At 47.8% G+C, this 26,072-nt stretch overlaps 1 protein-coding gene across 11 annotated transcripts, besides 6 other annotated features; it reads left to right on the top strand.

Annotated features, from left to right (window-relative positions):
• The first annotated feature begins 224 nt into the window (after nt 1-224).
• On the top strand, nt 225-25,873 carry DRC10 (dynein regulatory complex subunit 10). Of its 11 annotated transcripts, XM_047428260.1 has the most exons (6): nt 225-322; nt 11,191-11,318; nt 13,060-13,881; nt 20,506-20,735; nt 23,707-23,778; nt 25,430-25,873. In XM_047428260.1, the coding sequence occupies exons 3-6, from the start codon at nt 13,153-13,155 to the stop codon at nt 25,818-25,820; spliced, it is 1,422 nt and encodes a 473-aa protein (XP_047284216.1). In that variant the 5' UTR covers nt 225-322; nt 11,191-11,318; nt 13,060-13,152; the 3' UTR covers nt 25,821-25,873. The 11 variants fall into 11 exon arrangements, with proteins under 11 accessions (XP_047284216.1, XP_047284220.1, XP_005253891.1 ...); XM_047428264.1 differs by lacking the exon at nt 11,191-11,318 and having other exon boundaries at nt 13,060-13,338; XM_005253834.5 differs by lacking the exon at nt 11,191-11,318 and having other exon boundaries at nt 13,060-13,338; nt 20,506-20,739.
• Nucleotides 477-626: an enhancer, noted in NCBI's record as "active region_7068". NCBI's record gives its function as "activates an Ori minimal core promoter by ATAC-STARR-seq in GM12878 lymphoblastoid cells {active_cell/tissue: GM12878}" and the evidence as "EXISTENCE:reporter gene assay evidence [ECO:0000049][PMID:35858748]".
• Nucleotides 12,311-12,470: an enhancer, noted in NCBI's record as "active region_7067". NCBI's record gives its function as "activates an Ori minimal core promoter by ATAC-STARR-seq in GM12878 lymphoblastoid cells {active_cell/tissue: GM12878}" and the evidence as "EXISTENCE:reporter gene assay evidence [ECO:0000049][PMID:35858748]".
• Nucleotides 12,621-12,930: an enhancer, noted in NCBI's record as "active region_7066". NCBI's record gives its function as "activates an Ori minimal core promoter by ATAC-STARR-seq in GM12878 lymphoblastoid cells {active_cell/tissue: GM12878}" and the evidence as "EXISTENCE:reporter gene assay evidence [ECO:0000049][PMID:35858748]".
• Nucleotides 13,141-13,270: an enhancer, noted in NCBI's record as "active region_7065". NCBI's record gives its function as "activates an Ori minimal core promoter by ATAC-STARR-seq in GM12878 lymphoblastoid cells {active_cell/tissue: GM12878}" and the evidence as "EXISTENCE:reporter gene assay evidence [ECO:0000049][PMID:35858748]".
• Nucleotides 16,620-16,689: an enhancer, noted in NCBI's record as "active region_7064". NCBI's record gives its function as "activates an Ori minimal core promoter by ATAC-STARR-seq in GM12878 lymphoblastoid cells {active_cell/tissue: GM12878}" and the evidence as "EXISTENCE:reporter gene assay evidence [ECO:0000049][PMID:35858748]".
• Nucleotides 18,368-19,259: an enhancer, noted in NCBI's record as "H3K27ac-H3K4me1 hESC enhancer chr12:113639865-113640756 (GRCh37/hg19 assembly coordinates)". NCBI's record gives its function as "activates a minimal SCP1, AML or CMV promoter by ChIP-STARR-seq in naive H9 embryonic stem cells {active_cell/tissue: H9 hESC(naive)}" and the evidence as "EXISTENCE:reporter gene assay evidence [ECO:0000049][PMID:30033119]".
• Nucleotides 25,874-26,072: the final 199 nt, after the last annotated feature.

The following is a 26,072-nucleotide window of genomic DNA, read 5'->3' as shown; positions in this document are numbered from 1 at the left end:
GCGGTACTCCCTGCCCGCCTCCTTAAGAAGGGGCGGGACGAAGAATCCACGCCCCTTACTCCTCCCTTGTTCCCCGCCTTACTCGTTGAGTCCAACCCAGAGGGAGTCCCAAGTCTTTCCATTGGTGAAAGGTCAAAATGGCGGTGCTTCTGATTGGTCAGACTTCAGGAGGTGGGGACAACTGAGCGGAACAATAAATTGAATGGTGAAAAGAAAGGTCAGTCAGACACCGAGTCTCGCCTTCTGAGATTGGCGGGTAACCTAGCAACGCAGGGACCGCGGCGGTAACTGTGGCTAGGGAAACCTGGAGCGGTCAGAGCAGGTGAGTAGCCAGTTGGGAAAGGGTCGCGGATCGGGGGAGATGTGGAATAGGGTTCAGCCCTCTGTCCTTTGGCTCCCTGAGGAATTAGAAGCCCCCGCTGCGATCTCGTCTCAGCTTCAGGACCCTGTCCCTCAGCTCCTGCCTTAGTCTGGACCTTTCGCTCCACAACCTGCAGGGAGCCGGCCTCCATTCTGCCCTTCTACCTGCCCACTTCATGGCTCCACTCCCTCATCCCTAAAACGAGGAGGACAACAGTCAAGCAGAGTCATATCGTAGTTAACTTATTTCAAGTCAAACATGGGAGCTGTGGGTGGGAGGGGAGTTTATAAGTCCCCTCCCATTTCACCCAACGGCCATACGTTCCTCGGTGAGCAGGCAATCTCACTTCAGTGTTTAAATTAGGTAGTTTTGTTTGTTTGTTTTGTTGTTGTTGTTGTTGTTTTTGCCGAGCATGGTGGCTCACGCCTGTAATCCCAGCACTTTGGGAGGCCGAGGCGGGCAGATCACTTGAGGTCAGGAGTTCTAGGCCAGCCTAGCCAGTATGGTGAAACCCCATCTCTACTGAAAATACAAAAATTAGCTGAGCATGGAGGCGCACCTGTAATCCCAACTACTCGGGAGGCTAAGGCACGAGAATCACTTGAACCCGGGAGACTTAGGTTGCAGTAAGCCAAGATAGCGCCATTGCACTCCAGCCCGGGCAACAGAGCAAGACTCTGTCTCAAATAAATAAATAAATTAGGTAATTTTTATTACACCACTTTTGCCTTTATCCTAACTTTGGAATTTAACTCCCATCTCCATCCTTAAGATGTGATCTCATTGTACCTACTGAAGACAGAGAGTTTCTTGTGATGATTAAATGAGGCTAAGGGCCGGGCGCGGTGGCTCAGCCTGTAATCCCAGCACTTTGGGAGGCCGAGGCCAGCAGATCACCTGGGCCAGCAGATCACCTGAGGCCAGGAGTTTGCGACTAGCCTGGCCAACATGGTGAAACCCTGTCTCTACTAAAAATACAAAAATTAGCCGGGCCTGGTGGCGTGTGCCTGTGATCCCAGCTACTCAGGAGGCTGAGCGGGAGAATTTCTTGAACCCGGGTGGTGGAGGTTGCAGCGAGCCGAGATCGTGCCACTGCACTCCAGTCTGGGTGATAGAGCGAGACTCCAGCTCAAAAAATAAATAAATAAATAAATAAATAAATAAGGCTGAGGTGGGAGAATTGCTTGATCGCAAGAGGCGGAGGTTGCGGTGAGCCATGATTGCACTACTGCACTCCAGCCTGGGCGACAGAGCGAAAAACCCTGTCTCAAAAAAATATATAAAAAAAAAACTTTGAGGTTCAAAAGATATTTTCATAAGAAAATGAAAAGATCAGCCACAGACACAGACATGGAGGAAATATTTGCAAATCATGTGTCATAAAAGAGTTGTATATAGAATATAAAAATAACTCTTATAACTCAATAAGAGGACAACTCAATTTTTTTAATGGGCAAAAGAGTTGAGTAGACATTTAAAAATCAAAAAGACAATACCAAGTATCATCATGTAGATAAATAAACAAACTGTAGCTTTCATATGTTGCCGGTAGGTACAGCAGAATACCAATTGGTACCACCAATCTGAAATATAGTTGGCAGTTTCTTAAAAAGTTAAACATAGGCCAGGCACAGTGGCTCGTGCCTGTAATCCCAGCACTGTAGGAGGCACAGGCAGGTGGATCACCTGAGGTCAGGAGTTCGAGACCAGCCTGGCCAACATAGCAAAACCCCGTCTCTACTAAAAATACAAAAATTAGCAGGGCATGCTGGCGGGTCCCTGTAATCCCAGCCATTTGGGAGGCTGAGGCAGGAGAATCACCTGAACCCAGGAGGCGGAGGTTGCAGTGAGCCGAGATCGTGCCACTGCACTCCAGTCTATGTGACAGAGTGAGACCCTGTCTCAAAAATAAATAAATAAAACAAAAAATAAACTTACACATAACCTAGCAATTCCACTCTTAGGAAGTTACCCCTCCCAAGTGAAAACATAAGTCCACACAAAGACTTAAATATAAATGTTCTTAGCAACATCACCCTTAACAGCCCAAAACTGGAAACAACCCAAATGTCATCAACAGGTGAATAAATAAATAACTCATGATATTTCCTTAGAATGGAATACTATTCAGCAATAAAATACTATTCAGGAATGAAATACTAATAATTGCTACAACCTGGATGAACCTCAAAAACATGTTAAGTTGAGGGTTTTTGGCCCAGTGGCTCACGCCTGTAATCCCAGCAATTTGGGAGGCCAAGGCAGGAGGATCCTAGTTTGAGCCTAGGAGTTTGAGCCTAGGAGCCTGGTAACAAAGTGAGACCCTATCTCTACAAAAAATACAAAAATTAGCCAGGCATGGTGGTATGCACCTGTAGTCCCAACTATTCAGAAGGCTGAGGTGGGAGGATCACCTGAGCCTGGGGAGGTCAAGGCTACAGTAATCCATGGTTGCACTGCTGCACTCTAGCCTGCGTGACAGAGTAAGACCCTGTCTATTAAAAAAAAAAGGCAGCCGGGCACGGTGGCTCACGCCTGTAAATCCCAGCACTTTGGGAGGCCAAGGCAGGCAGATCACCTGAGGTAGGGAATTTGAGACCAGCCTGACCAACATGGAGAAACCCCGTCTCTACTAAAAATACAAAAAAAAAAAATTAGCTGCGCGTGGTGGCGCATGCCTGTAATCCCAGCTACTTGGGAGGCTGAGGCAGGAGAATCGCTTGAACCCAGGAGGCAGAGGTTGCAGTGAGCCGAGATCACGCCATGGCACTCCAGCCTGGGAAACGAGAGCAAAACTCCATCTCAAAAAAAAAAAAAAAAGGTCAGGGTTTTTCAACCTCAGCTCTATTGATGTTTTGGGTGAGAAAATTCTTTGTTGTGGGGAACTATCCTGCCAATTGTAGGATATTTAGCAATATTACGAGCCTCTACCTACAAGATGCCAGTAGTAGCCTCTCTCAGTTGTGACAAGCAAATGCATCTCCCGATTATTGCCAAATGTCTTCTGGAGGGCAAAGTTGCCCCAGGTTGAAAACCACTGTGCTAAGCAAAAAGTCAGATGCAAACAATTACATACTGCATGATCCCATTTATATGAACTATCCAGGAAAGTTACATATGAGTGGAGGCCAGGGGCAGTGGCTCACGCTTGCAATTCCAGCACTTTGGGAGGCCAAGGAAGGTGGATTACTTGAGCCCGGGAGTTCAAGACCAGCCTGGGCAACATGCTGAAACCCTGTCTCTCCTAAAAACGTAAAAATTAGCCAAGCGTGGTAACACGCACCTGTAATCCCAGCTACTTGGGAGGCTGAGGCACGAGAATTGCTTGAACCAGGGGGGTGGAGGTTGCAGTGAGCCGAGATTACGCCACTGCACTCCAGCCTGGGCGACAGAGCGAGACTCAGTTTCAAAAACAAAACAACCACAACAAAAAATGTGAGTGGAAGCAGAGATTGTTTGCAGATTAGCTCATGGGAATTTGGGGGGAGTGATAGAAATGTTCTAAAACTGGATTGTAGTGATGTGGCAACTTCAGATACATTTACAAAAATAGTCACTGAGTTTTACACTTACAATGGGTGAATTTTATGGTAATGTAAATTATACCTCAATAGAGCTGTAAAAAAAAAAAAATTACACGTGTGATTAGTACTATGCAGGAAAGGTGAGAGAGTTTCCACAGGTTGTAAAGTGCTGTCTGTTCCAGTCTGAGGAGGGGTAGCCATTGAGCTAAGACCTAAAGAATGAGAAATTGTTAATCTAGGGAGAAATTATTCCTGGGGGGTTGGTTTCTGACAAAAGGAACATTATACATTAGTGCCTGAGAGCAGGACGGGTTTGAGATAGGCTGTTTTTTGTTTTGTTTTTTTGAGACAGAGCCTTTCTCTGTTGCCCAGGCTGGAGTGCAGTGGTGCAATCTCAGCTCACTGCAACCTACGCCTCTTGGGTTCAAGCGATTCTCCTGCCTCAGCCTACCAGGTAGCTGGAATTACAGGTGCCCAACACCATGCGCTGCTAATTTCTGTATTTTTAGTAGAGACTGGGTTTCACCATGATAGCCAGGCTTGGTCTCGAACTCTTGACCTCAGGTGATCCACCCACCTCGGCCTCCCAAAGTGCTCCCAAAGTCCTGTAATCCCAAAGATTACAGGAGTGAGCCACCGCACCCAACCCTGTTTCGTTTAATTTTAACTCTAGTCCCAGTTGGCAAACTGATTTCACTGCCCAGTAAAGGGTTACAACCTTAAGATTTTATTTTTTAAGCAGTTTTAGATTCACAGCAAAATTGAGAGAAAGGTAGAGAGAGTTCCTACATACCCCCTATTCCCACATGCACAGCCTGCCCCACCGTCAACCTCCCCCACCAGAGTGGTGCATTTGTTACAGTTGATGAACCTACATTGACACATCAGCAGCAGCATCCAAATTCCATAGTTTACATAAGGGATAAGGGTTCACGCTTGGTGTTGTACATTCTGTGAATTTGGACAAATGTATAATGATGGTATCCATCATTGTAGTAAGGTACATAGTATTTTCACTGCCCTAAAAATCCTCCCTGTTCTGCCTATTCATCCCTCCCTTCCCCCAGCCCTTAGACAACACTGATCTTTTTACTATCTCCATAGTTTTGCCTTTGCCAGAATGTCATATAGTTGGAGTGATACCATATGCAGCTTCTTCAGATTGGCTTCTTTCACTTAGTGATATGCATTTAAGTTTCTTCCATGTCTTTTCGTGGCTTGACAGCTCATTTCTTTTTAACACTGAATAATCCTGTATTCCATTGTCGGGATGCCCCACTGTTTATCTACTCAGCTCCTGAAGGACATCTTGGTTGCTTCCAAATTTTGGCAGTTGTGAATGAAGCTGCTATAAATATCCATAAGCTTTTTGTGTGTGCAGGTTTTTGTGTGCACATGAGTTTTCAACTCCTTTGGGTAAACACCAAGGAGTGCAATTACTGGATCGTACAGTAAGAGCAGGTTTAAATTTGTAAGAAAACAACTGTCTTCCCAAGTGGCCGCACCATGTTGCATTCCCACCAGCAATGACAGAGTTTCTGCTTCACATCCTCACCAGCATTTGGAGTTGTCGGTGTTCTAGATTTTGTCCATTCTAATAGGTGTGTAGTAGTTAAATATTTTTTTCAAGTTGGAGAAGTTGATTATAGAATAATCTAAATTCACTACTAGGAAATTCTTCCTTCTGTCTGAAACTGCCAAAGTGATGCTGTCTACACTTAGATATAACCAGAAATAAGCATTTCTAAAGTGACACTGTAACCAAAAGAGGAATTAAAATTCCTGATGAACTGATTGATAAGGAGGGGAGACTGGACAATGGGGAGTGATTTAAGGGAACTTGGTCTTCTTCGGTCACTAACAGGAGAACATGAATAATGCAGAAACCAGCAAAATTAAAAACAAAATAGTAAAAAGGAGTAAAAACTGCTTCTGTTTTGACTTTTTATAAAGCCTTTGATACAAAAACATATACCATATTATTTTGTGGAAAAGCACATCTATTTTAAGAAACATTAAAGTGTTGATATTAACATAATTTTTGAAGTAGTACTAAAAGTCATAAAAGCGTAACACTTTTGAGCAAGGATTTCATTTCATTCCCTCAACAGTGCTGTGTCCCATTTCACAGGTAGAACGTCAAGGCTTAGAGAGGTTAATCGACTTACCCAAAGCCACACAGCCAGGAAGTGGTGAGACACTGGAATTGCATTCCAAATGTGTTTTTCGTTTCCACTTCAGTAATGAGGAAATGAAAGCCCAGAAGATCAAGTGGACTTGCCCAAGGCTATATAGCTTGTGGTCAGTGGAAAGTATTTCATCATAACCAGCAACATAGAAATCTGTCCCGGGGGGCATGTTCCCTCCCAATCTGAGTCACTATCCCATGTCCTCTGTCTCCAAAGCACCAGATAATCCTGGAGCCTGCAGCCACCCAGCCAGCATTACAAACAGGGTCCCAACTGTCAATACCTCCAGCATTCATTGCTGCAGCCCTAGCCTGGGAATCTTTTACAGACCAGTTGTAAACCATAAAACACAGGTTCTCAAAAAGAACAAGAGAGGAGGATTGGGTAATAGTTCAAAATTAGTCACAGAAAGAAAAAAAAAACCACTCAACTATGAAAAAGTAAAAAATTCATTACATTTAAAACTTTTGTTTAAAAAATTCCAAGCCCTGAGTAAAGGGATGCAAAAGAATTCATAGGCCAATTGTTGGCCTACAGTTCTATCATGAAAATATGACTCTCTTTTCTGGCTCCAATTCAGGACATATATATTTTGCAAAACAACATTATCCTATTATGCCAGCATCTCCCAGTGAGGAGACAAGCCTGTTGGTAAATCTGGGTTTGCCATCTCATTTATTCAACAGTGATTTCTTTTTCTTTTCTCTTTTTTTCTCTTTTTTTTTTTTTTTTTTTTTGAGACGGAGTCTCACGCTGTCACCCAGGCTGGAGTGTGCAGTGGTGCGATCTCAGCTCACTGCAACTTCCATTTCCCTGGTTCAAGTGATTCTCCTGCCTCAGCCTCCCAAGTAGTTGGGATTACAGGCATGTTTCACCACACCCGGCTAATTTTTGTATTTTTAGTAGAGATGTTTCGCCATATTGCCCAGGCTGGTCTCAAACTCCTGACCTCAGGTGATCCACCTGCCTCGGCCTCCCACAGTGCTGGAATTACAGGTGTGAGCCACTGAGCCCAACCGCAACAGTGATTTCTTTATTGAGCACCTACTGTATAGTAGTTGGTTGGGATAGCAGGTTTCATCATGAATCTGTTGCTTCTTTCTAGCCCCTCACTTTCCCCCTCCCTAGACTTGAAAGCCTCAGATAAAACATACAGAGTTCGGAAGAAAGCTAGAGGTTTGGAGGGTAGTGAGATCTTTCTGAGGCTAAAAAGAAAATTCCTCTTGAGCCCAGGAGTTCAAGACCAGCCTGGGCAACATAGCAAGACCTTGGTTTTTTTGTTTTTTGTTTTTGTTTTTTTTGAGACAGAGTCTCACTGTGTCACCCAGGCTGGAGTGCAGTGCTGCAATCTCGGCTCACTGCAACCTCCACCTCCCAGGTTCAAGCAATTCTCCCGCCTCAGCCTCCACAGGTGCCCACCACCATGCCCAGCTAATTTTTGTATTTTTAGTAGGGACAGGGTTTCACCATGTTGGCCAGGTTGGTCTCAAACTCCTGACCTCAAGTGATCAACCTGCCTTAGCCTCCCAAAGTGGTGGCATTACAGGCGTGGGCCACTGCGCCCGGCCAGAAGTCAATCTTAAAATCAAGAGACTGGACAGAATAGTGCTGATGGGGTGCAGGCCCTGTCACTTCCTAGCTGTAAACTAACTAGAATCATCTAACCTCTCTCTCTGTCTCCCTTTCTTCATCTGTGAAATAGAGGTAATAATAGCACCTACCTCATAGGGTTGTTGCAAGGATTAAAGGAATTAATTCGTATATAGCATTCAGAACAGTGTCTGCTACACAGTAAGTTCTCAAGAACTTACTTAGCTAATGTTAAAATGGTATTCCTTAAAATGAGATCCGGATGAGGATGGAAAAACTACCTATCAGGTACTATGCTTATTACCTGGGTGATGAAATAATCTGTACACCAAACCCCCATGACATGAAATTTACCTATATAACAAACCTGCACATGTAACCCGAACCTAAATTAAGAGTGAATTTAAAAAGAGAGAGAGAAATCCATTTCCCACACTCCAGTTGTTTTGGTTTTTTTTTTTTTTTTTTTTTTTTTTTTAGCACCCTCTGACTTTTCCACTTGCCAGTTTGGATTTGTAGGGTAGTTGTTAAGTGTTGGGTTTTTTCCTTCTCTCCAGGGGGAAAAAATATATAATTTAGTTCAAATCTTTTTTTTCCTCAAAATATTCTAAGAGCAAAATTAATAAAATATCCAACAAGCCTGTTTGAATGAAGACGAGGTATAATTTGCATGATAAAGATATATTTCCATTTATAAAGTTCATCAGCAGAATTAATGACAAATAAAGGGAATATCCAATTAAAGTTTCCCATCCATTAACAATTTGCTTCACTCTCAGGGCAGGAATTTTAAACGGAGATGCTTAAGTTGGAAATGATTTAAATATTAAGGTTGGTGGCATTAAAAAGGACATGAAATGATCATATTAGGATTCAAGGAAAAGAGATTCTCCAGTCATTTTTGTCGTCAGAGTCAGATGCATTTCCCCTCAATCCTAGTTCCACGGGCTTTATCTTGTTCACCCAAATGAGCTGTCAAGAAATGATGGGTGTCATCATAATCAAAGAAAACAAGTTTGCCCTTTAAAGCAAAAGAGGTAATTTGGCTGAAAGCAAATTGGAAACATTTCATGTAACGTTGCGTTTCCAGCCGCACTCTCTGAAGAATTCAGGCATTTTGATTTATGCCTGAGAGCTTTGGGGTACAATGGAGAGGACTGCATTCATTAACTACCTTGTTCACATTCATCCTGTAGCCATGGGCAAAGATCCTTCATCCTCAGAGAGCCTGAGAAATCTCCATGGCTGTCCCTAAAACTTTTTTTTCACTTACAAGATAGGATCTAGGCTGGGCATGGTGGCTCACGCCTGTAATCCCACCACTTTGGGAGGCCAAGGTGGGCAGATCACCTGAGGTCAGGAGTTTGAGACCAGACTGGCCAACATGATGAAACCCTGTCTCTATTAAAAATACAAAATTAGGCTAGCGTGGTGGTGCACGCCTGTAATCCCAGCTACTTGGGAGGCTGAGACAGGAGACTGCTTGTACCTGGGAGGCAGAGGTTGCAGTGAGCCCAAATCACACCATTGCACTCCAGCCTGGGTGACAACAGCAAAACTCCAGCTTAAAAAAAAAAAAAAAAAAGAGGAGAGATAGGATCTCGCTCTGTCACCCAGGCTGGAGTGCAGTGGTGCGATCATGGCTCACTGTAGCCTCAACCTCCCTGGCTCAAGCAATCCTCCTGCCTCAGCTCCCCAAATAGCGGGGACTACAGGCACCTGCCACCATGACAGGCTAATTTTTTTTTTAACTTTTTGTAGAGGTCTCATTTTGTTGCCCATGCTGATCTTGAACTCCTGGGCTCAAGGAATCTTCCCTCCTTGGCCTCCCAAAGTGCTTGGATTGCAGCTGTGAGCCACCATGCCCAGCCTCCTAAAACTTTGTCTTCAGGAAAAGCCTCAAAGGATCTCATGAGATTCATTAGGGAGCAGGAAGTGTGTGTGAATCAAAGTGATTGAAGATAATTCCCAATCCTCTGCTCCCAAAGGGGCTTCTGGTTTGTTTTTTGTTTTTTTGTTTTTTTAAGAGACAAGATCTCACTCTGTTGCTCAGGCTGGAATGCAGTGGCCTGATCATAGCTCACTGCATCCTCAAACTCCTGGGCTCAACAAATCCTCCTGCCTCAGCCTCCCAAAGTGTTGGGATTACGGGCGTGAACCATGATACCTGGCCTGATATTGAATACATTCTGCCTTGCCAAGGAACTAAACATCCTTAGCACCTGATCTGGCCTGCCTTTCTTTTTCGTTCTTAGTCACTTTGGGTGTTTCTTTGATTCCCTGCCATTCTCTTGGTGTGTTCTTTGGTTTGGTGAGTTGAAGTTATCTTTTGTGGCTTCAAGTGTCACTTCCTTCTCCTGGGCAACATAGCAAGACCCTATATCTACAAAAATAAAAATACAATAATTAGCTGGGAATGGTGGCACGTGCCTGTAGTATCAGCTACTCGGGAGCATGAGGCAGGAGGACTGTTTGAGCCCAGGAAGTCGAGGTTGCAGTGAGCCATGATCGTGCCACTGCACTCCCTGGATAATGGGAAGGCCAAGACACCATTGTCCACTGCAGTATGGCAGCTAGAGCTCAATGAGTTTAAAAGTGAGCTCATTGTCCTCCCCTCCAAATGTCCTCTCCTCTCCCAATTTCTGCCATAGTTTCTTAAGGGCCCCATCTTTCTCTACCAGTCACCCAAACTCAAAACTCTTTCACTCAAGTCCTAATGATTCTTTCTTCAAAACATTTCTCACATCTACAGACAATATGAAAATAAAAGTGGCACAGGTAACCTGTAAGTAGTAACTTACAGCTTTCATTGGTGCTTACTTCTTAGGAGAGGGGGAAAGACAGACAATAAACAAATAAACAGGTGCATATAGGGATGTCAGATGGTGATACTTAACCTGGAGAACGAACAGGATAAGGGGGAAGAGATGAAGAAGAATCAGGGTGAGGGATGGGGATGTTATGGGGGGTGTCCATCTGAGACATGGTGTTGGGGGGTGAGCAGACATCCTGGGCAGTAGGTGTTCTTTTTTTTTTTTTTTTCTTTTTTTCTTTTTTAAGAGATGGGGACTTGCTATGTTGCCTGGGCTGGTCTTGAACTCCTGGGCTCAAGCGATCCTCCCACTTCAACCTCCCAAAGTGCTAGGATTACAGGCGTGAGCCCCTGTGCTTGGCCAAGGCAGTAGGTGTTCGTTCAGCAATTGCATCAGAAATCATTAAAGTCCTGGACTTGGGATTTTCGTTTTCCTGGGTTAGTGCTATTAGTTATTTATTGAACATTTTTTACAGCGTGCAGGCTTCTCATTCATCCTGAGGACTCTTGTTTTACAGCTGAGGAAGCCCAAGCTCTGGAGGATTAAATGACCAGCCCAGAGACCCCCAGCAAGGATTTGAACCCAAGTGGGGCTGTGCAAAGCTAGTACTTTTAGCCATTGTACTATGAAAGCAATATAAATTACTGATCTCTGATTGCCCTATAGATTTTTCTGAAACAGTTATTTATTTGTCTATCTATCTTTTGAAACAGAGTCTCATTCTGTTGCCCAGGCCGGAGTACAGTGATGCAAACTTGGCTTACTGCAACCTCCGCCTCCTAGGTTCAAGAGATTCTCATGCCTCAGCCTCCTGAGTAACTGGGGTTAACCTGAGTAACAGGTGCGTACCACCATGCCTGGCATTCTCTCGTATTTTTATTAGAGACGGGGTTTCGCCATGTTGGCCAGGCTTGTCTTGAACTCCTGACCTCAGATGATCCACCTCCCTCGGCCTCCCACAGTGCTGTGATTACAGGTGTGAGCTACCATGCCTGGCCTGAAATAGTCTTTTAACTAAACTTTTTACTTTGTAATAATTGTAGATTTATAGAAAAGTTGCAAAGATAGTACAGAGAGTTCCCGTATGCCCTCCATTCTGCTCCCCCTAATGTTAACATCTTAGATAACCTTGATGTGTTTGTCAAAACCACAAAATTAGGCCCGGCACGGTGGCTCCTGTCTGTATTCCCAGCACTGGGAGGCTAAGGTGGGAGGATTGCTTGAGCCTAGGAGTTCAAGATCAGTCTGGGCAACATAGTGGAGCTCATCTCTATAAAAAGTTAAAAAATTAGCTAGGCATCGAGCACCTATAGTCCTAGCTACTTGAGAGGCTGAGACAGGAGGATCACTTGAGCCCAGTAGGTCGAGGCTGGAGTGAGCCATGGTCACACTATTGCACTCCAGCCAGGGTAACAGAGCGCCTACAAAATTAATGTTGGTACAATGCTATTAACTAAACTTTAGACTAGATTTGGATTTGGATTTGGATTTCTCCAGTTCCACTAATGTCCTTTTTCCACTCCAGAACCCAATCCAGAATACAACATTACATTTAGTGAAACAGTTTTTTAAATTGTATTTCAAAGTTATATTTCACCCACCAATTTTTAAAATCAGTACTTAAAAATGGCCAGGCGTGGTGGCTCAGGCCTGTAATCCCAGCACTTTGGGAGGCAAAGGCAGGTGGATTGAGAACAGCCTGGCAAACATGGCAAAACCCTGTCTCTACTAAAAATACAAAGATTAGCCAGGCGTGGTGGTGTGCACCTGTAGTCCCAGCTGCTCAGGAGGCTGAGGCAGGAGAATCACTTGAACCCAGGAGGCAGAGGTTGCAGTGAGCCGAGATCATGGCACTGCACTGCAGCCTGGGCGACAGAGCAAGACTCTGTCTCAAAACAAATAAACAAACAAACCAAAAAACTTTAAAATCAGTGAAAATGTGCCATTCCTAGTCCTGTTAGTCTTACACTGCATTCTGCCCTGTCCCTGTCCTGCTCAGACATAGGCTGAGGCCTGTGGTTCCGTCGCCCAGGCTGCTTGTCAGTTGGTTTCCTGCTGGTTTTGGCCAAGGGCAGTAGAAAGAAACCAGGGTATTTCTCCTCCCCCACCGCCACCCTTCTTTAATCTGCATTTCCGGCAATGTCTCTAGCTCCTCTGGGAACTGATGGCTGTGGTTCAAACTTCCCCTGGGTGACCCTGGGCCCCAGGCTCACCATCTCTTCATGTGGTGGCTTCCTGCCATTGACAATTGCGGGATGGCTTTGTCTTCCCCTGGTTGGCCTCTCAACTCTCCCATCACTGATGTAACCAGTCTCTGGTTTTAAATCCTTAGAATGCTGTCTGTATGCCTGGCTGGTCCCCGCCTGACACATGTGCCTGAGATGCCTCCACACTTGGTCTTCCTGCCCTTGTGGCCCTAACACCCTCACAAAGCTGAAAACTGCTTCCAGTGAAAGGTTCTGTGTAAAAGCGACAGAGGACCTAAGATGAACTCTTGATGTCAACAGTTGTGGTTTCTGCAGCCACACTAACCACACAGATGTCAGCACAGCTGCACTCACACCTACTTCTTCATTTTGCAGGATGGCCAGAGACAATAAAAGCACGAGACCCAAGTAGTCTACCGAAGTCTCCATCTCTGTGGACCTACAGAGGCACAGAGGGCTGCTCACAAGATGGCTTTAGACATTCTCGCCATGGCCCCTTTGTATCAGGCCCCTGCCATCAACAGAATAGGGCCAAAGACAGACCCATCTAAAAGGCCAGCTGATCCACTAAAACCCTTGGTTCTCTCTAGGACCAAACTCACCACCATTGAGGCCAAAAGGATCATGTCCATCCTGGATGAGGCGATCTACAAGGTGGAGCTGGTGACCTTGCTGTCGTATGTGGCATCCAACAGAGAGGATATGGAGGGGATGCTGGGGGAGGACGTCATGAGGGCAGTGAGAGAGCATGAGGATCTCTGCCAGGTCCTCCTTGAAAACGTCAGGTGCCTGAAAGAGAAAGAAAGGCAATTGCAGGAGCAGAAAGAGGCTGAGGAGGAAGGGTGGCTCAGAGACCGCCTCCTTTCCATAGAGCTGCAGAAATCCAGCCTCTCACCACTTATGCAGCAGATCAAAGACTCCACCAAGAACGTCCTTAGACTCTTGCTCAGCAACCCCCAGGCTGCTAGGCTCCTGCAGATGCAGACACAGGGTAGAAGTGCAGAAGCCCAGAATTTTATTGACAGCCTGATAGAGCTCCGTGGTTTCCTGTTTGAAAAACTACTCACTAGTCCCATGGAAGCGAGGGATAAGGCCCAGTTCTTACAGGATATCAGTAGACAGAATAGTAATAACCAACAAATCATTGATACTCTTGAAAAGGAATTGGCGGAGAGAATGAAGAACAGGAATGCAGAGGTATTGTTTCATAGTATTGCTGAAATTACTGAAGAAGCCACACAAATCTTTTGTTGGTTGGGTTTTTCCTCAATGATTGATTTTTTTTTTAAGATGGAGTCTCGCTCTGTTGTCCAGACTAGAGTGCAGTGGTGTAATCTCGACTCACTGCAACCTCTGCCTCCCAGGTTCAAGCGATTCTCCCACCACAGCCTCCCAAGTAGTTGGGATTACAGGCGTATGCCACCACGCCCGGCTAATTTTTGTATTTTTAGTAGAGACAGGTTTTCGCCATGTTGGCCAGGCTGGTCTAGAACTCCTGACCTCAAGTGATCCTCCTGCTTTGGCCTCCCAAAGTGCTGGCCACTGCGCCTGGCCAATTGATTGACTGATTTTTTTGAGACAGGGTCTCACTCTGTTGCCCAGGCTAGAGTGCAGTGGCATGATCACAGCACACTGCAGCCTCCATCTCTCAGGCTTAAGCAATCCTCCCATCTCACCCTCCCAAGTAGCTGAGACTACAGGTGTGTGTCACCATGCCTGGCTAATTTTTTGATTGTTTGTAAAGATGGGCTCTTGCTACGTTGCCCAGGTTGGTCTCGAACTTCTGGGTTCAAGAGATCCTTCCGCCTTGGCCTCCCAAAGTGCTGGGGTTACAGGCATGAGCCACTATGCCCGGCCTCCCCAGTGATTTTTTTTTTTTTAAGATGGAGTCTTGCTGTGTCACCCAGGCTAAAGTGCAGTGGCAACATCTTGATTCACTGCAACCTCCGCCTCCTGTGTTGGGAATGGGTGCTCGGTGTCGCCAAAATCAACACTGAGACAAAGGATCTCTCAGCAAGGCTAGTTTACTCTCTGCAGAAAGGGTGCTGCTTGCTAGCAGTCTTGCCACAAGAGCACACATGAACAAAAGAGACGGGGTCATTTATAACCTGACGCATCCACCCTACTGCTGTGTCCAGTTTCCATTGGCTGGAACAGGACCTCACATTCTGTACTCAACCCGATTGGCTAGCAATTTAGAACTTCCCAAAAGAGGCAAAGGCAGAGGGAAACAAAGGAAGAGAGCAAGTAACTCCTGGAATGCTGAGAGAGGCAAAAACACCTCCAAATAAGGAAGAGGAATAGGCTATGACCTAATGCTTGCTTGGACCGGTTCAGGTATGCCAAGGCAAATATCTAAGCTAAAATGTGGGAGCTAAGAACAGAGTATATTGATTTCTTTTTTTTTTTTTTTTTTGAGGCGGAGTCTTGCTCTGTCACCCAGGCTGGAGTGCAGTGGTGTGATATCAGCTCACTGCAAGCTCCGCCTCCAGGGTCACACCATTCTCCTGCCTCAGCCTCCCGAGTAGCTGGGACTACAGGTGCCCACCACCATACCCAGCTAATTTTTTTTTTGTATTTTTAGTAGAGATGGGGTTTCACCGTGTTAGCCAGGATAGTCTCGATCTCCTGACCTCGTGATCCGCCCACCTCTGCCCCCCAAAGTGCTGGGATTACAGGCGTGAGTCACCACGCCCGGCCTATTGATTTCTTTTTTTTTTTTTTTTTTTTTTGAGACGGAGTCTCGCTCTGTCGCCCAGGCCGGAAGCCGGACTGCGGACTGCAGTGGCGCAATCTCGGCTCACTGCAAGCTCCGCTTCCCGGGTTCACGCCATTCTCCTGCCTCAGCCTCCCGAGTAGCTGGGACTACAGGCGCCCGCCACCGCGCCCGGCTAATTTTTTGTATTTTTAGTAGAGACGGGGTTTCACCTTGTTAGCCAGGATGGTCTCGATCTCCTGACCTCATGATCCACCCGCCTCGGCCTCCCAAAGTGCTGGGATTACTGGCATGAGCCACCGCGCCCGGCCTGATTTCTTTATTACAGCTAGCAGAATTGAAGAATATTAACACAGGTCTTCGAGTAAATTTTGGTTCTAAGAGAGGTTACTACCTATTCTGAATTAGACTGGGAGGAAAGTCCCTTTGAAGAGGAACCTCTATTTCATTTTCTACATCCTGGGTTCAAGCAATTCTTCTGGCTCAGCCTCCCGAGTCTCTGGGACTACAGGTGCCCGCCACAATGCCCAGCTAATTTTTTTATTTTTAGTAGAGATGGGGTTTCACCGTGTTGGCCAGGCTGGTCTTGAACTCCTGACCCTAAGTGATCTGCCCGCCTTGGCCTCCCAAAGTGCTGGGATTATAGGCGTGAGCCACTGCGCCTGGCCTAAGTAGCTTTTTTTTTTTAAAAAAAAATTCATTTACTCCACAAATTATTGTAAGTACTTACTAGGTGCCAGGTCTTATAAATAAGCCCATGTGGTTCCAGCCTCATGGAGTTCACAGTAAGGAAGGTAGGAATTAAAGAATTCATTTAATTACAGTTTTGAGAAGTACAATGTACTTCTCAAAGGGAGTGTTACAGGAGAACTTAACACCAAAAGGTCAGGGACATTGAAGCCAAGATATGAAGAATGCGAGGGCGTGAACCAGGCAAGTGCAGTGAGGAAGAACCTTCCAAGCTAGGGATCAGCGAACTATTTTTTTTTTTTTGAGACAGTCTTACTCTATGCCCAAGCTGGAGTATAATGGCATGATCTCAGCTTACTGCAGCCTTCACCTCCCAGGTTCAAGTGATTCTTGTGCCTCAGCCTCCTGAGTAGCTGGGATTACAGGCATGTGCCACCACGCCTGGCTAATTTTTGTATCTTTTAGTAGAGACAGAGTTTTGCCATTTTGGCCAGGCTGTTCTTGAATTCCTGGTCTCAAGTGATCCTCCCACCTCCCACCTCAGCCTCCCAAAGTGCTGGAATTACATGTGTGAGCCACCGCACCTGGCCCCAACTTTTTCTACAAAGGGCCAGATAGTAAAAACATTAGGCTTTGTGGGCCAGATGGTCTGTTGCAATTACTCAACTCAGCTTTGCTGTTATAGGGGAAAAGCAGCCACAAACAATATGTAAATGAATGGGCTGTGTTCCAACAAAACTTTACTTACAAATACAAGTGGCTGGCTGGATTCGGCCTGTGGGCCATAGTTTGCCAACCCCTGTTCCAGGTGGAGGGTAGAGTGCACCTCAGTAATGAGACAAGAATAAGCCTGGCTAGTTCAGAAACCCAGAGAATGCCAGTGAGCTAGAGGGAAGGGACAAAGATGGGCTGGGAAAGCAGGGGAAGGAGACAGATCACACAGGGCCTTTGAGGCCTAATCAAGGAATTTGGTTTCTAGAAGTTTTTAGTTTTAGAGACAAGATCTTGCTCTGTCACCCAGGCTTGAGTGCATTGGCACGTTCATAGCTCACTGCGGCCTTGACCTCCTGGGCGATTCTCCTGCCTTAGCCTTTTGAGTAGCTGAAACTACAGGCATGCGCCACCACTCTTGGCTAATTTTTTACATTTTTGTAGAGACAGGGTCTCGCTATGTTGCCCAGGCTGGTTTCGAACTCCTGGGCTCAAGCAATCTCCCTGCCTCAGCCTCCCAAGTAGCTGTGACTACAGGCACATGCCACCATGCCTGCCTAATTAATTTTTTTTCTTTTTTTAGAGATGGGGTGTCTGGCTGGAAGTAGTGGCTCACACCTATAATCCCAGCACTTTGGGAAGCCAAGGCAGATGGATCACTTGAGGTCAAGAGTTCAAGACCAGCCTGGGCAACAGGGTGAAACCCCATCTCTACAAAAAAAAAAAAAAAAAAAAAAAAATTAGCTGGGCACAGTGGCTCATGCCTGTAATCCCAGCACTTTGGGAGGCTGAGGCAGGCAGATCACCTAAGGTCAGGAGTTCGAGACCAGCCTGACCAACATGGTGAAACCCCATCTCTACTCATAATATAAAAATTAGCTGGGTGTGGTGGCGTGCACCTATAATCTCAGCTACTCGGGAGGCTGAGGCACAAGAATTGCTTGAACCCAGGAAGTGGAGATTGCAGTGAGCCTAGATTGCACCATCATACTCCAGCCTGTGCGACAGAGTGAGACTCTGTCTCAATGAAAGGGAAGGGAAGGGAAGGGGTGGGGAGGGGAGGGGAGGGGTCTTACTCTGTTACCCAGGCTGGTCTTAAACTCCTAGCTTCAAGGGATCCTCCAGCCTCAGCCTCCTGAGTAGCTAGGATTATAGGCATACCACACCAGTTAGAAGAATTGTTAAGAAGGGAAATGGCGGTGTGGTGGCTCACGCCTGTAATCCCAACACTTTGGGAGGCCAAGGCAGGTGGATCACTTGAGCTCAGGAGTTTGAGACCAGCCTGGGCAACACGGCAAAACCCTGTCTCTACGTAAAAGACAAAATTAGCTGGGCGTGGTGGTATGCACCTGTAGTCCCAGCTACTCAGGAAGCTGAGGTGGGAGGATCACTTGCGCCCAGAAGGCAGAGGTTGCAGGGAGCTGAGATCGCACCACTGTACTCCAGCCTGGCTGCAGAGCAAGACCCTGTCTCAAAAAAAAAAGGGAAACAGTAGCATGATCCCAAACCCTAATAATAATTGTCATATTGCACACATACAGTGTATTTAGTTTAACATACATTTTCTCTCTAAATCTTTACAAAAACCCTGTGAGATGGTGTATGAGTACAGATTTGGCTGCTATAACAGAGACACCCAAAATAGCTGTGGCTTAGTCAAGATGGCAGTGTATTTCTCTGTAGTGGAAACACCGGAGCTGGTGTGGCATCTCTGCTCCCCAACTTGTCAGAGGTCTGGTTTCTTCTATGTGACTTCCCTGCTGTCCCCAACATGGGACTTCTGCTTGTGGGCCAAGATGGCTGCTCCAGCTTTCCCCATCATGTGGCCCCCAGTCTAGCCAGCAGGAAGGAGGAAAGGGGAGGAGAGGGCTTGGTTCTGCCCCTTAAGGACACGTGTGGAGGTGGCACACAGAACTTCCATGCATATCTTGTAGCCACACCCAGCAGAGAGAAGTGCTAGGAAGGACCGACCACCCGTCACTGGGGCTGTGTTATGCTCCACATTCTACCCCACAGCCTCTCTGGGGAGAGCAGACATGGGGGTAGCCAGGCTGCACTGCCACAGGCCCTTCTGTTTCTATCCCCCACCACTGATGAAAGGTTCAAGGCCCTGGGAAACTATTCACAGCCCCCTCCCTGGTGCTGGGTTGGGCACTTCTCACTGAATTTGTCCTTTAAAGCATTCACCTGACTTTGTGGATAACATTCACCTGACTTTGTGGATAACATATGTGTGTGTGATTTGTGTGGTCTTGAGGGGTCTGGCTCCTCCACAAGAAAAGGGGGACCTTGTCTCTTTCAGCCTGCCACTGTGTCCCCAGTGAGCCTGTCCAAAAGAGGGGCATGATGTATACTTGTTGAGTGGACAGAGGACCAGCTGCTGAGCCCTCGGGCAGGGAGGTTACTAGTAAGGTGGGAGGGGCATCATCTAGGAATAGGCAGAGGGACACAGGTGGCCCTGCTGGTCTCATTCAGGTGCTAGAACCAGCTTGGGGCTTCACCTTGGACTGACCTGGGCTCAAATGCCATTTTTGCCAGGTGGGCAAATTTCATGTCATTGAACCTCAGTGTACAGTGAGGGGAGACACCAATCAGGCACGTGTGGGGAGTCTACAGGGAGAGCTCTGACTGCCGATCATATTCCCAGCGCCTGGTGCCTAAAGCCTTGCCTGCAGGATGGGCTTGCCCCAAAGGCACTGCCTCCCTGCCCCCAGTGTGCAGGAAGTGAGCAGATGCCCGGCGGGCCTGCTGCCAGCTGACCCAAGCCCAAGATGGTGGCGTGAGCAGCCATAGCACCGCTGTGCTCAGAGGGAGACTCTAGTGTAGTGAGAAGCCTTGAGAGCTTCTTTACAAAACTGTCTCATCCTCCACCCCCATTCCTGTTCTAGAATCCACCCAAGGCAGGGGACAAGCCAGACATGGGCCCTCAAGAAAGAGCCCGGTGGCAATCCCTGCAGCCTGTGTTCATCGCACACCTTCATGCACCCCACTAAGTGTCTCTGCCAGCTGGGCCTCCCCTGCTGTGTCCCCAGGAGGAGCATCGCCGCTGTCCCAGTCCTCCCCTGTGGCCTCAATCCAACAAGCTTGTACCCTTCACTCGTGCAAGGAAATAGAAAGTGGTGGCCAAGAACGTGGGCTCAAGGTCAGACAAACCTGGCTTCAGGCCCCAGTTCAGCTGGGCAACCCCAGACAGATGAAGCCACCTCCTTGAGCCTCAGTTGTCTTGTCTGTAATCAGGCTGTCCCTGACCTCCATTGTGGGGTTGGGGGTGTGATTAGAGAGATATAACCCAGGTGGCATGCCTGGCCCTGAGGGAGGATGCAGTGGTGCCAGCCTCTGGTGACTGTCAGTGGATATGGAGAGTTGCTTTTTTTTTTGAGATGGAATCTCACTCTGTCACCCAAGTAAAAGTGCAGTGGTATGATATCTCCGCTCACTGCAATCTCTACTTCCTGTATTCAAGTGATTCTCCTGCCTCAGCCTCCCGAGTAGCTGGGATTACAGGCATGCACCACCACACCCAGCTAATTTTTGTATTTTTAGAAGAGACGGGATTTCATCATGTTAGCCAGGCTGGTCTCAAACTCCTGACCTCAGGTGACCCACCCACCTCAGCCTCCCTAAGTGTTGGGATTACAGGCGTGAGCCACTGTGCCCGGCTGGGCATGGAGGTATTAACGGAGCCCTTTCTCTTCCTGGCTTAGGTGGAAAAGGAGAACTTTGTGATCCAAGAACTGAAAAACCACCTGCACCAGGTGCTCAAGTTCTCAGAGAACAGCCTCGTTCGCACTAAGCAGGAGGCTGAGAAGCAGCAGAAGGCCGATTTCCGGGCATCACAGGCCAGGGTGGCCAAGATCCAGCAGGAGATCCTGCAGCTGCAGTCACAGTTTTACAACCTGGTCATGGAGAACCGGGAGGCAGAGCAGGCGCTGAGGAAGGTGCCCCGGGAAGCAGCGAGGATGGGCCGAGGGGGCCCCTGGTGGGGGGGATGGGTGGGACTGTTCCATCACTCCTGGAGGTCCAGCAGTGTTGGGCAGGGCAGGACTGCACCAGCTACTCAGGAAGTGGCTTGGTGGAGGGGAAGGGCACAGGAGCAGGGAAGGCCCAAATCCAAGCCAGTGTCTCCTGGGAGGCAGGAAGGGGCAGCACACAGGCCTGGGGACAGGGGACAAACTGGGATCCTGTCCCAGCATTGCTGCATGCCAGCTTTGTGACCTTGGGCAAGTTCCTCAACTCCTGAGACCCCACAGGGATAATACCCACATCGTCAGAGGCTGGGTGCCCTGCAAAGGAATGAAGAAGTAGCATGTAAAGCTCAGGCTAATTACTCAACTCCTGCCCAGCTGCCGATTTCACACCTCAGAAATGAAAATGCTAACATTGGTCTTAATGGTTGTTACATGAGAATTACATGAGATGGTAGTGAGAGAGCTGGTGCATAGTAAGTGTTCAATAAATATCATTTCTGACCGGGTAAGGTGGCTCATGCCTGTAATCCCAACACTTTGGGAGGCTGAGGTGGGAGGATCGCTTGAACCCAGGAGGCGGAGGCTGCAGTGAGCTGTGATTGCACCACTGCACTCCAGCCTGGGCAACAGCAAGACCCTGTCTGTACAAAGAATAAAAGATAAATTAGTCAGGCGCTGTGATGTGTGCCTATAGTCCCAGCTACTTGGGAGGCTGAGGCAGGAGGATCACTTTAGCCCAGGAGTTTGGAGGCTGCAGTGAACTATAACTGTGCCACTGCATTCCAGCCAGGTCAACAGAGTGAAACCTTGCCTCTTAAAAAAAAAAACCCAAAACCTTCATTTGCCTTCTCCTTCATCATCTCAGCCAAGACCCAGGCCTAGCACACACCCAACTTCCAAATCTCTTTCCTTGTAAAAGGCACCCTTTTTAATACTTGTCTCCAGTCTCTTAGTGTCACACTCTTGAGCATCTGATGGAAGCCACGGGCCTCTCCCCCAGAAAGAAGGCACAGATGCACTTACACATCCTAGTGGACAGTTCCCTGGGGAGCCCAGTCCCCCTGAAGCCGGCCTACCCATGGTGCCCAAGCTAAGGGCTCTTGCTCTGTAGGATTAGGGGGTTTATTTATTTATTTATTTATTTATTTATGTTTGAGACAGGGTCTCACTCTGTCACCCATGCCAGAGTGCAGTGGCGTGATCATAGCTCACTTCAGCCTCCAACTCCTGGGCTCAAGTGATCCTCCCATCTCAGCCCTCATGGGTCGCTGGGGCATGTCACCACGTCTGGCTAATTACAAATTATTATTATTGGCTGGGAGCAGTGGCTCACGCCTGTAATCCCAGCACTTTGGGAGGCTGAGGCAGACGGATCTCCTGAGGTCAGGAGTTCGAGACCAGCCTGGCCAATGTGGTGAAACCCTGTCTCTACTAAAAATACAAAATTAGCCGGGCGTGGTGGCATGCACCTGTAATCCCAGCTACTTGGGAGGCTGAGGCATGAGAATTGCTTGAACTCAGGAGGCGGGGGTTGCGGTGAACCGAGATCACACCACTGCACTCCAGCCTGGGTGACAGAGCGAAACTCCATCTCAAAAGAAAAAAAAAAAGTATCATTTTTTGTGGAGACAGGGTTTTGCTCTGTTGCCCAGGCTGATCTAGAACTTGTGGCCTCAAGCAATTCTCCCATTCCCACCGTGGCCTCCCAAATGGTTGGGATGAGCCACTGGCCCAGCCTGCTTATTTTTAATTTAGGTGAAACTTACATAACATAAAACCATTTTAAAATGAGCAATTCAGTGGCATTTAGTATATTCACGATGTTGTGCCACCCCCACTTCCACCACTTCTATCTAGTTCCAAAACATTATCACCTCAAAATAAAACTCCATATCCATTAAGAAGTTACTCCCCATTCCCTTATTCCCCCTGTCCCTGGCAATCACTAATGTGCTTTCTGTCTCTGTGGATTCACCTATTCTAGACACTTCATATGAATGGAATCTTCTGTGGCCGTTGTGTCTGGCATGTTTTACTTAGCACTGTGTTTTCAAGGTTCACCCATGTTGTAGCATGGATCAGTGCTTCACTGCTTTTTATGGTGGAAATAATCTTTTAAAAACAAGATTAGATCATGTCCCTCCACTGCATCTAAATCACCCAGTGGCTTCACCTCACCCTTTCCTGAGAATACAGCCTCCTCTTGCTGACACTCCCTCTGTGACACAGCCTTTTCCTTGGACCTTGTTGGGGACCACTTTCCTCCTCGCCACTCCCTTCCAGTCACACTGGCTTGATTTCTGTCCTTTAATTTTTTTTTTAATTTTTATTTTTTGAGACAGTCTTGCTCTGTCACCCAGGCTGGAGTGTGGTGGCATGATCTCAGCTCACTGCAAACTCTGCCTCCTGGGTTCAAGTGATTCTCCTGCCTCAGCCTCCTGAGTAGCTGAGATTACAGGTGTGCATCACCATGCCTGGCTAATTTTTGTATCTTTAGTAGAGATGGGGTTTTGGCATGTTGGCCAGGCTGGTCTCAAACTCCTGGCCTCAAGTGACCCGCCTGCCTCAGCCTCCCAAAGCGCTGGGATTACAGGCGTAAGCCACCACGCCAGGCTGATTTCTGTCCTTTAAACAGCACAAGCTTGTTCCTACCTCAGGGCCTTTGCACCTGCTGCTTTCTCTGCCTAGGATGTCCTGGAACCAGGCTGCTGGCATCAAATTCAGGCTCTGCCACCCATTAGCTCTGTCACCTTGGGCAAGTAAGATAGCATGTCTGAGCCTCAGTTCTCTCCCCTGTGAAATGGAGAAAAGGGAACCTCCTTGTTCAATAGGCGAGGCATGTCAAGCACCTGCCAGAGCCTAGTGATGCAGAGAGTGCTCAGTGCTGTTGATTGTTAATATATTCCATCAAACAATGACAAATTGGATCTTTTCTAGAAGAAATATAAAGTGGAAACGGAAATCGAGAACTGGATCCAGAAATATGATACAGAGATGGGTGAGAAGCAGGTATTTGTCGCTGAATAAGTCTCTCTCGCATGCTTTTCCCAAGACCTTCTAGGAATGGGATGAATGGGAAAAGTAGCCTTGGGATGGTCCATGGAGTGGGCAAACTTCTGAGCCTCTCTGCAGGGAGCACTTCCCTTTGTTTAAAGGGTTTGTCCAGCCTGGGGCAGAGTGAGAGGTGGGAAAGAAAAGAGCCAGAAGCTGCAAGGCCAGGTGCTGTGGCTCATGCCTGTAATCCCAGCACGTTGGGAGGCTGAGGTGGGAGGATCGCTTGAGCTCAGTAATTCAAGACCGGCCTGGGCAACAGAGCAAGACTCCATCTCTATTAATTTAAAAAAAAAAAAAAAAAAAAAGCGACTGGCTAGAAGGGCCTGACACTCTGACACTGGGCCTAATGATCATGGCTCCATCTAGTGTCCACATCCCATACTCCTCTGGATGGGCTCCTGCCAGCACCCCTACAAGGTGGGGCTCCTTCCCACAGACTCAGATGGGAGCCTGCCTCCACTGCATCACTCAGTCACTCAGCCAGTTTTTATTGAGCACCTGAGATGTGCCAGCTGTGTGGCCTTAAGCAAGGTACTTGACCTTCCCAAGCCCGTTTCTGCATCTGATTAGCAAAGGCAGTAATTCCCATTTTGGGACCATGGCGGGGATTCGGTGAGACACCATGGCTGCAAGTGTGTGTGCCCAGCACAGGGTCTGGCCTGGAGGGAAGTGCTCAGGGGGTGGTAACCTTCAAATCGAGACACGCCCAAACCCTTCACCCAGCACTGGGATAACATTGGTGGCCCATGGCTCCAACCCAGGGGCCAGGGAGGACTGGGGAGCACTGGAGAGCACTGGAGGTAATATGCGCTGGAGTGAGCCAAAGCCAGGTGTGCTCTTCAGAGAAGGGCAAGTCAGAACCTTGTCCTGGGCAACCATCAGGGCCTGGAGAGGGGAGCTTTGCAGGCGGGGGCTCTCATTTCTCTGGGTCCCATGAGGGTTGTGGGTTGGTTGCGGGCAGGGACTTTGTCCACCCAGCTCTGTGTCCTCTGGCAGTGCTCTGCTTTTTGTAGATGCTGGGAAAACATCAGTGGAAGGAAGGAAAACGGGTGTAAATGACAGCAGGAGAGGCTATGGTTAGACATAAGGAAGAACTCTGGGACTCCGTTTGAGGCCTGAGAAAGTTCCTTCTCCTCTGGTGTCTTGTGGAACAGACTGCTTTCATGGCAGCAGCCTCCATTTCTTGTGTCCCCACTGTGTGCCTGGCATCATGTCCAGTACATTGTGTCCATCGGGTCATTTAATCCTAGAAACAGCCCCTGGCTTCGGAATCGTCCCCATGTTTCAGATGAGGAAAAACGAAGGCCCGAAAGGTGAAGTCAGTTGAGGTGTGGCAGAGCTGGGACTTAAAACTAAGTCTGCCCAACTCACAAGCCCATGTTCTTTTCCTGTTCCTGAAATTATTTCAGTTGGGTCCTTCCTAGAGCTAGGATGGAGCCCATCCCCTCTCCCCATCCATGTCACTGGGACCGAGAGATGCTGAACAGCTTAGCTTAGGGGCATCGCTGGGGCAGAAGACCATTTGGGAAGGGTAAGGGGGCCTCAGGGAGGAGGGTGGGAGGAGGCACTCTATGTGTGGTGACCCCAGCCCCACCCCTCACCCCAGGAGGAGTTGGAGGATCTGGACGCTGTTCACAGGGAGGAGAAGATCTCGCTGGAGGAGCTCAGGCGGAGGCACAAAGTGCTGGTGGGAGAGTTTGCGCAGATCCGGGAAGAGCGGGAGATCAACTCCAAGAAAAGGATGGAGGCAGAGCAGGAGATGGTGCGCATGGTACGGGCGGCCACGCTCATCCAGGCCCTATGGAAGGGCTATCTGGTGCGCTCCCTGCTCAGATCCAAGAAGAAGCGGGGCAAGGGCAAAGCAAAGGACAAGGAGAAGGGCAAGCAGAAAGGCAAGGAGAAGGGCAAGGGCAAGAAATGAGCTCTCCACCCAGCCCGCTCCTGACCCTTATCTTCCCAGAGACCAGGCCAGGAAGGCCCGAGATGGAGAGCACTAAATTCACGGCTTTCATGTTTTTATTTAATAAATTAAAAAGTATTTGAAGCCACATTGAAGGGAACGCTCTACGAATAAATCTCTTTACCCAGGGCTGTGGGCTGTGTGTGTCCAGCTCACAGATGGTGTTTCCATGAGGAGCGTGCAGCCTGGGGTGTCAGCCCAGAGATTATGGTTCCTTACTTCAGCCTTAGTGGGAAACCAGACCCCAGCTGCAGCCCGGAAGCTGCCATGGCCATGATGGACACATCAC

The sequence above is a fragment of the Homo sapiens genome, chromosome 12, assembly GCF_000001405.40.
Source record: "Homo sapiens chromosome 12, GRCh38.p14 Primary Assembly".
NCBI classification, from domain to species: domain Eukaryota; kingdom Metazoa; phylum Chordata; class Mammalia; order Primates; family Hominidae; genus Homo; species Homo sapiens.
This window is presented reverse-complemented; position numbering and strand designations above follow the sequence as displayed.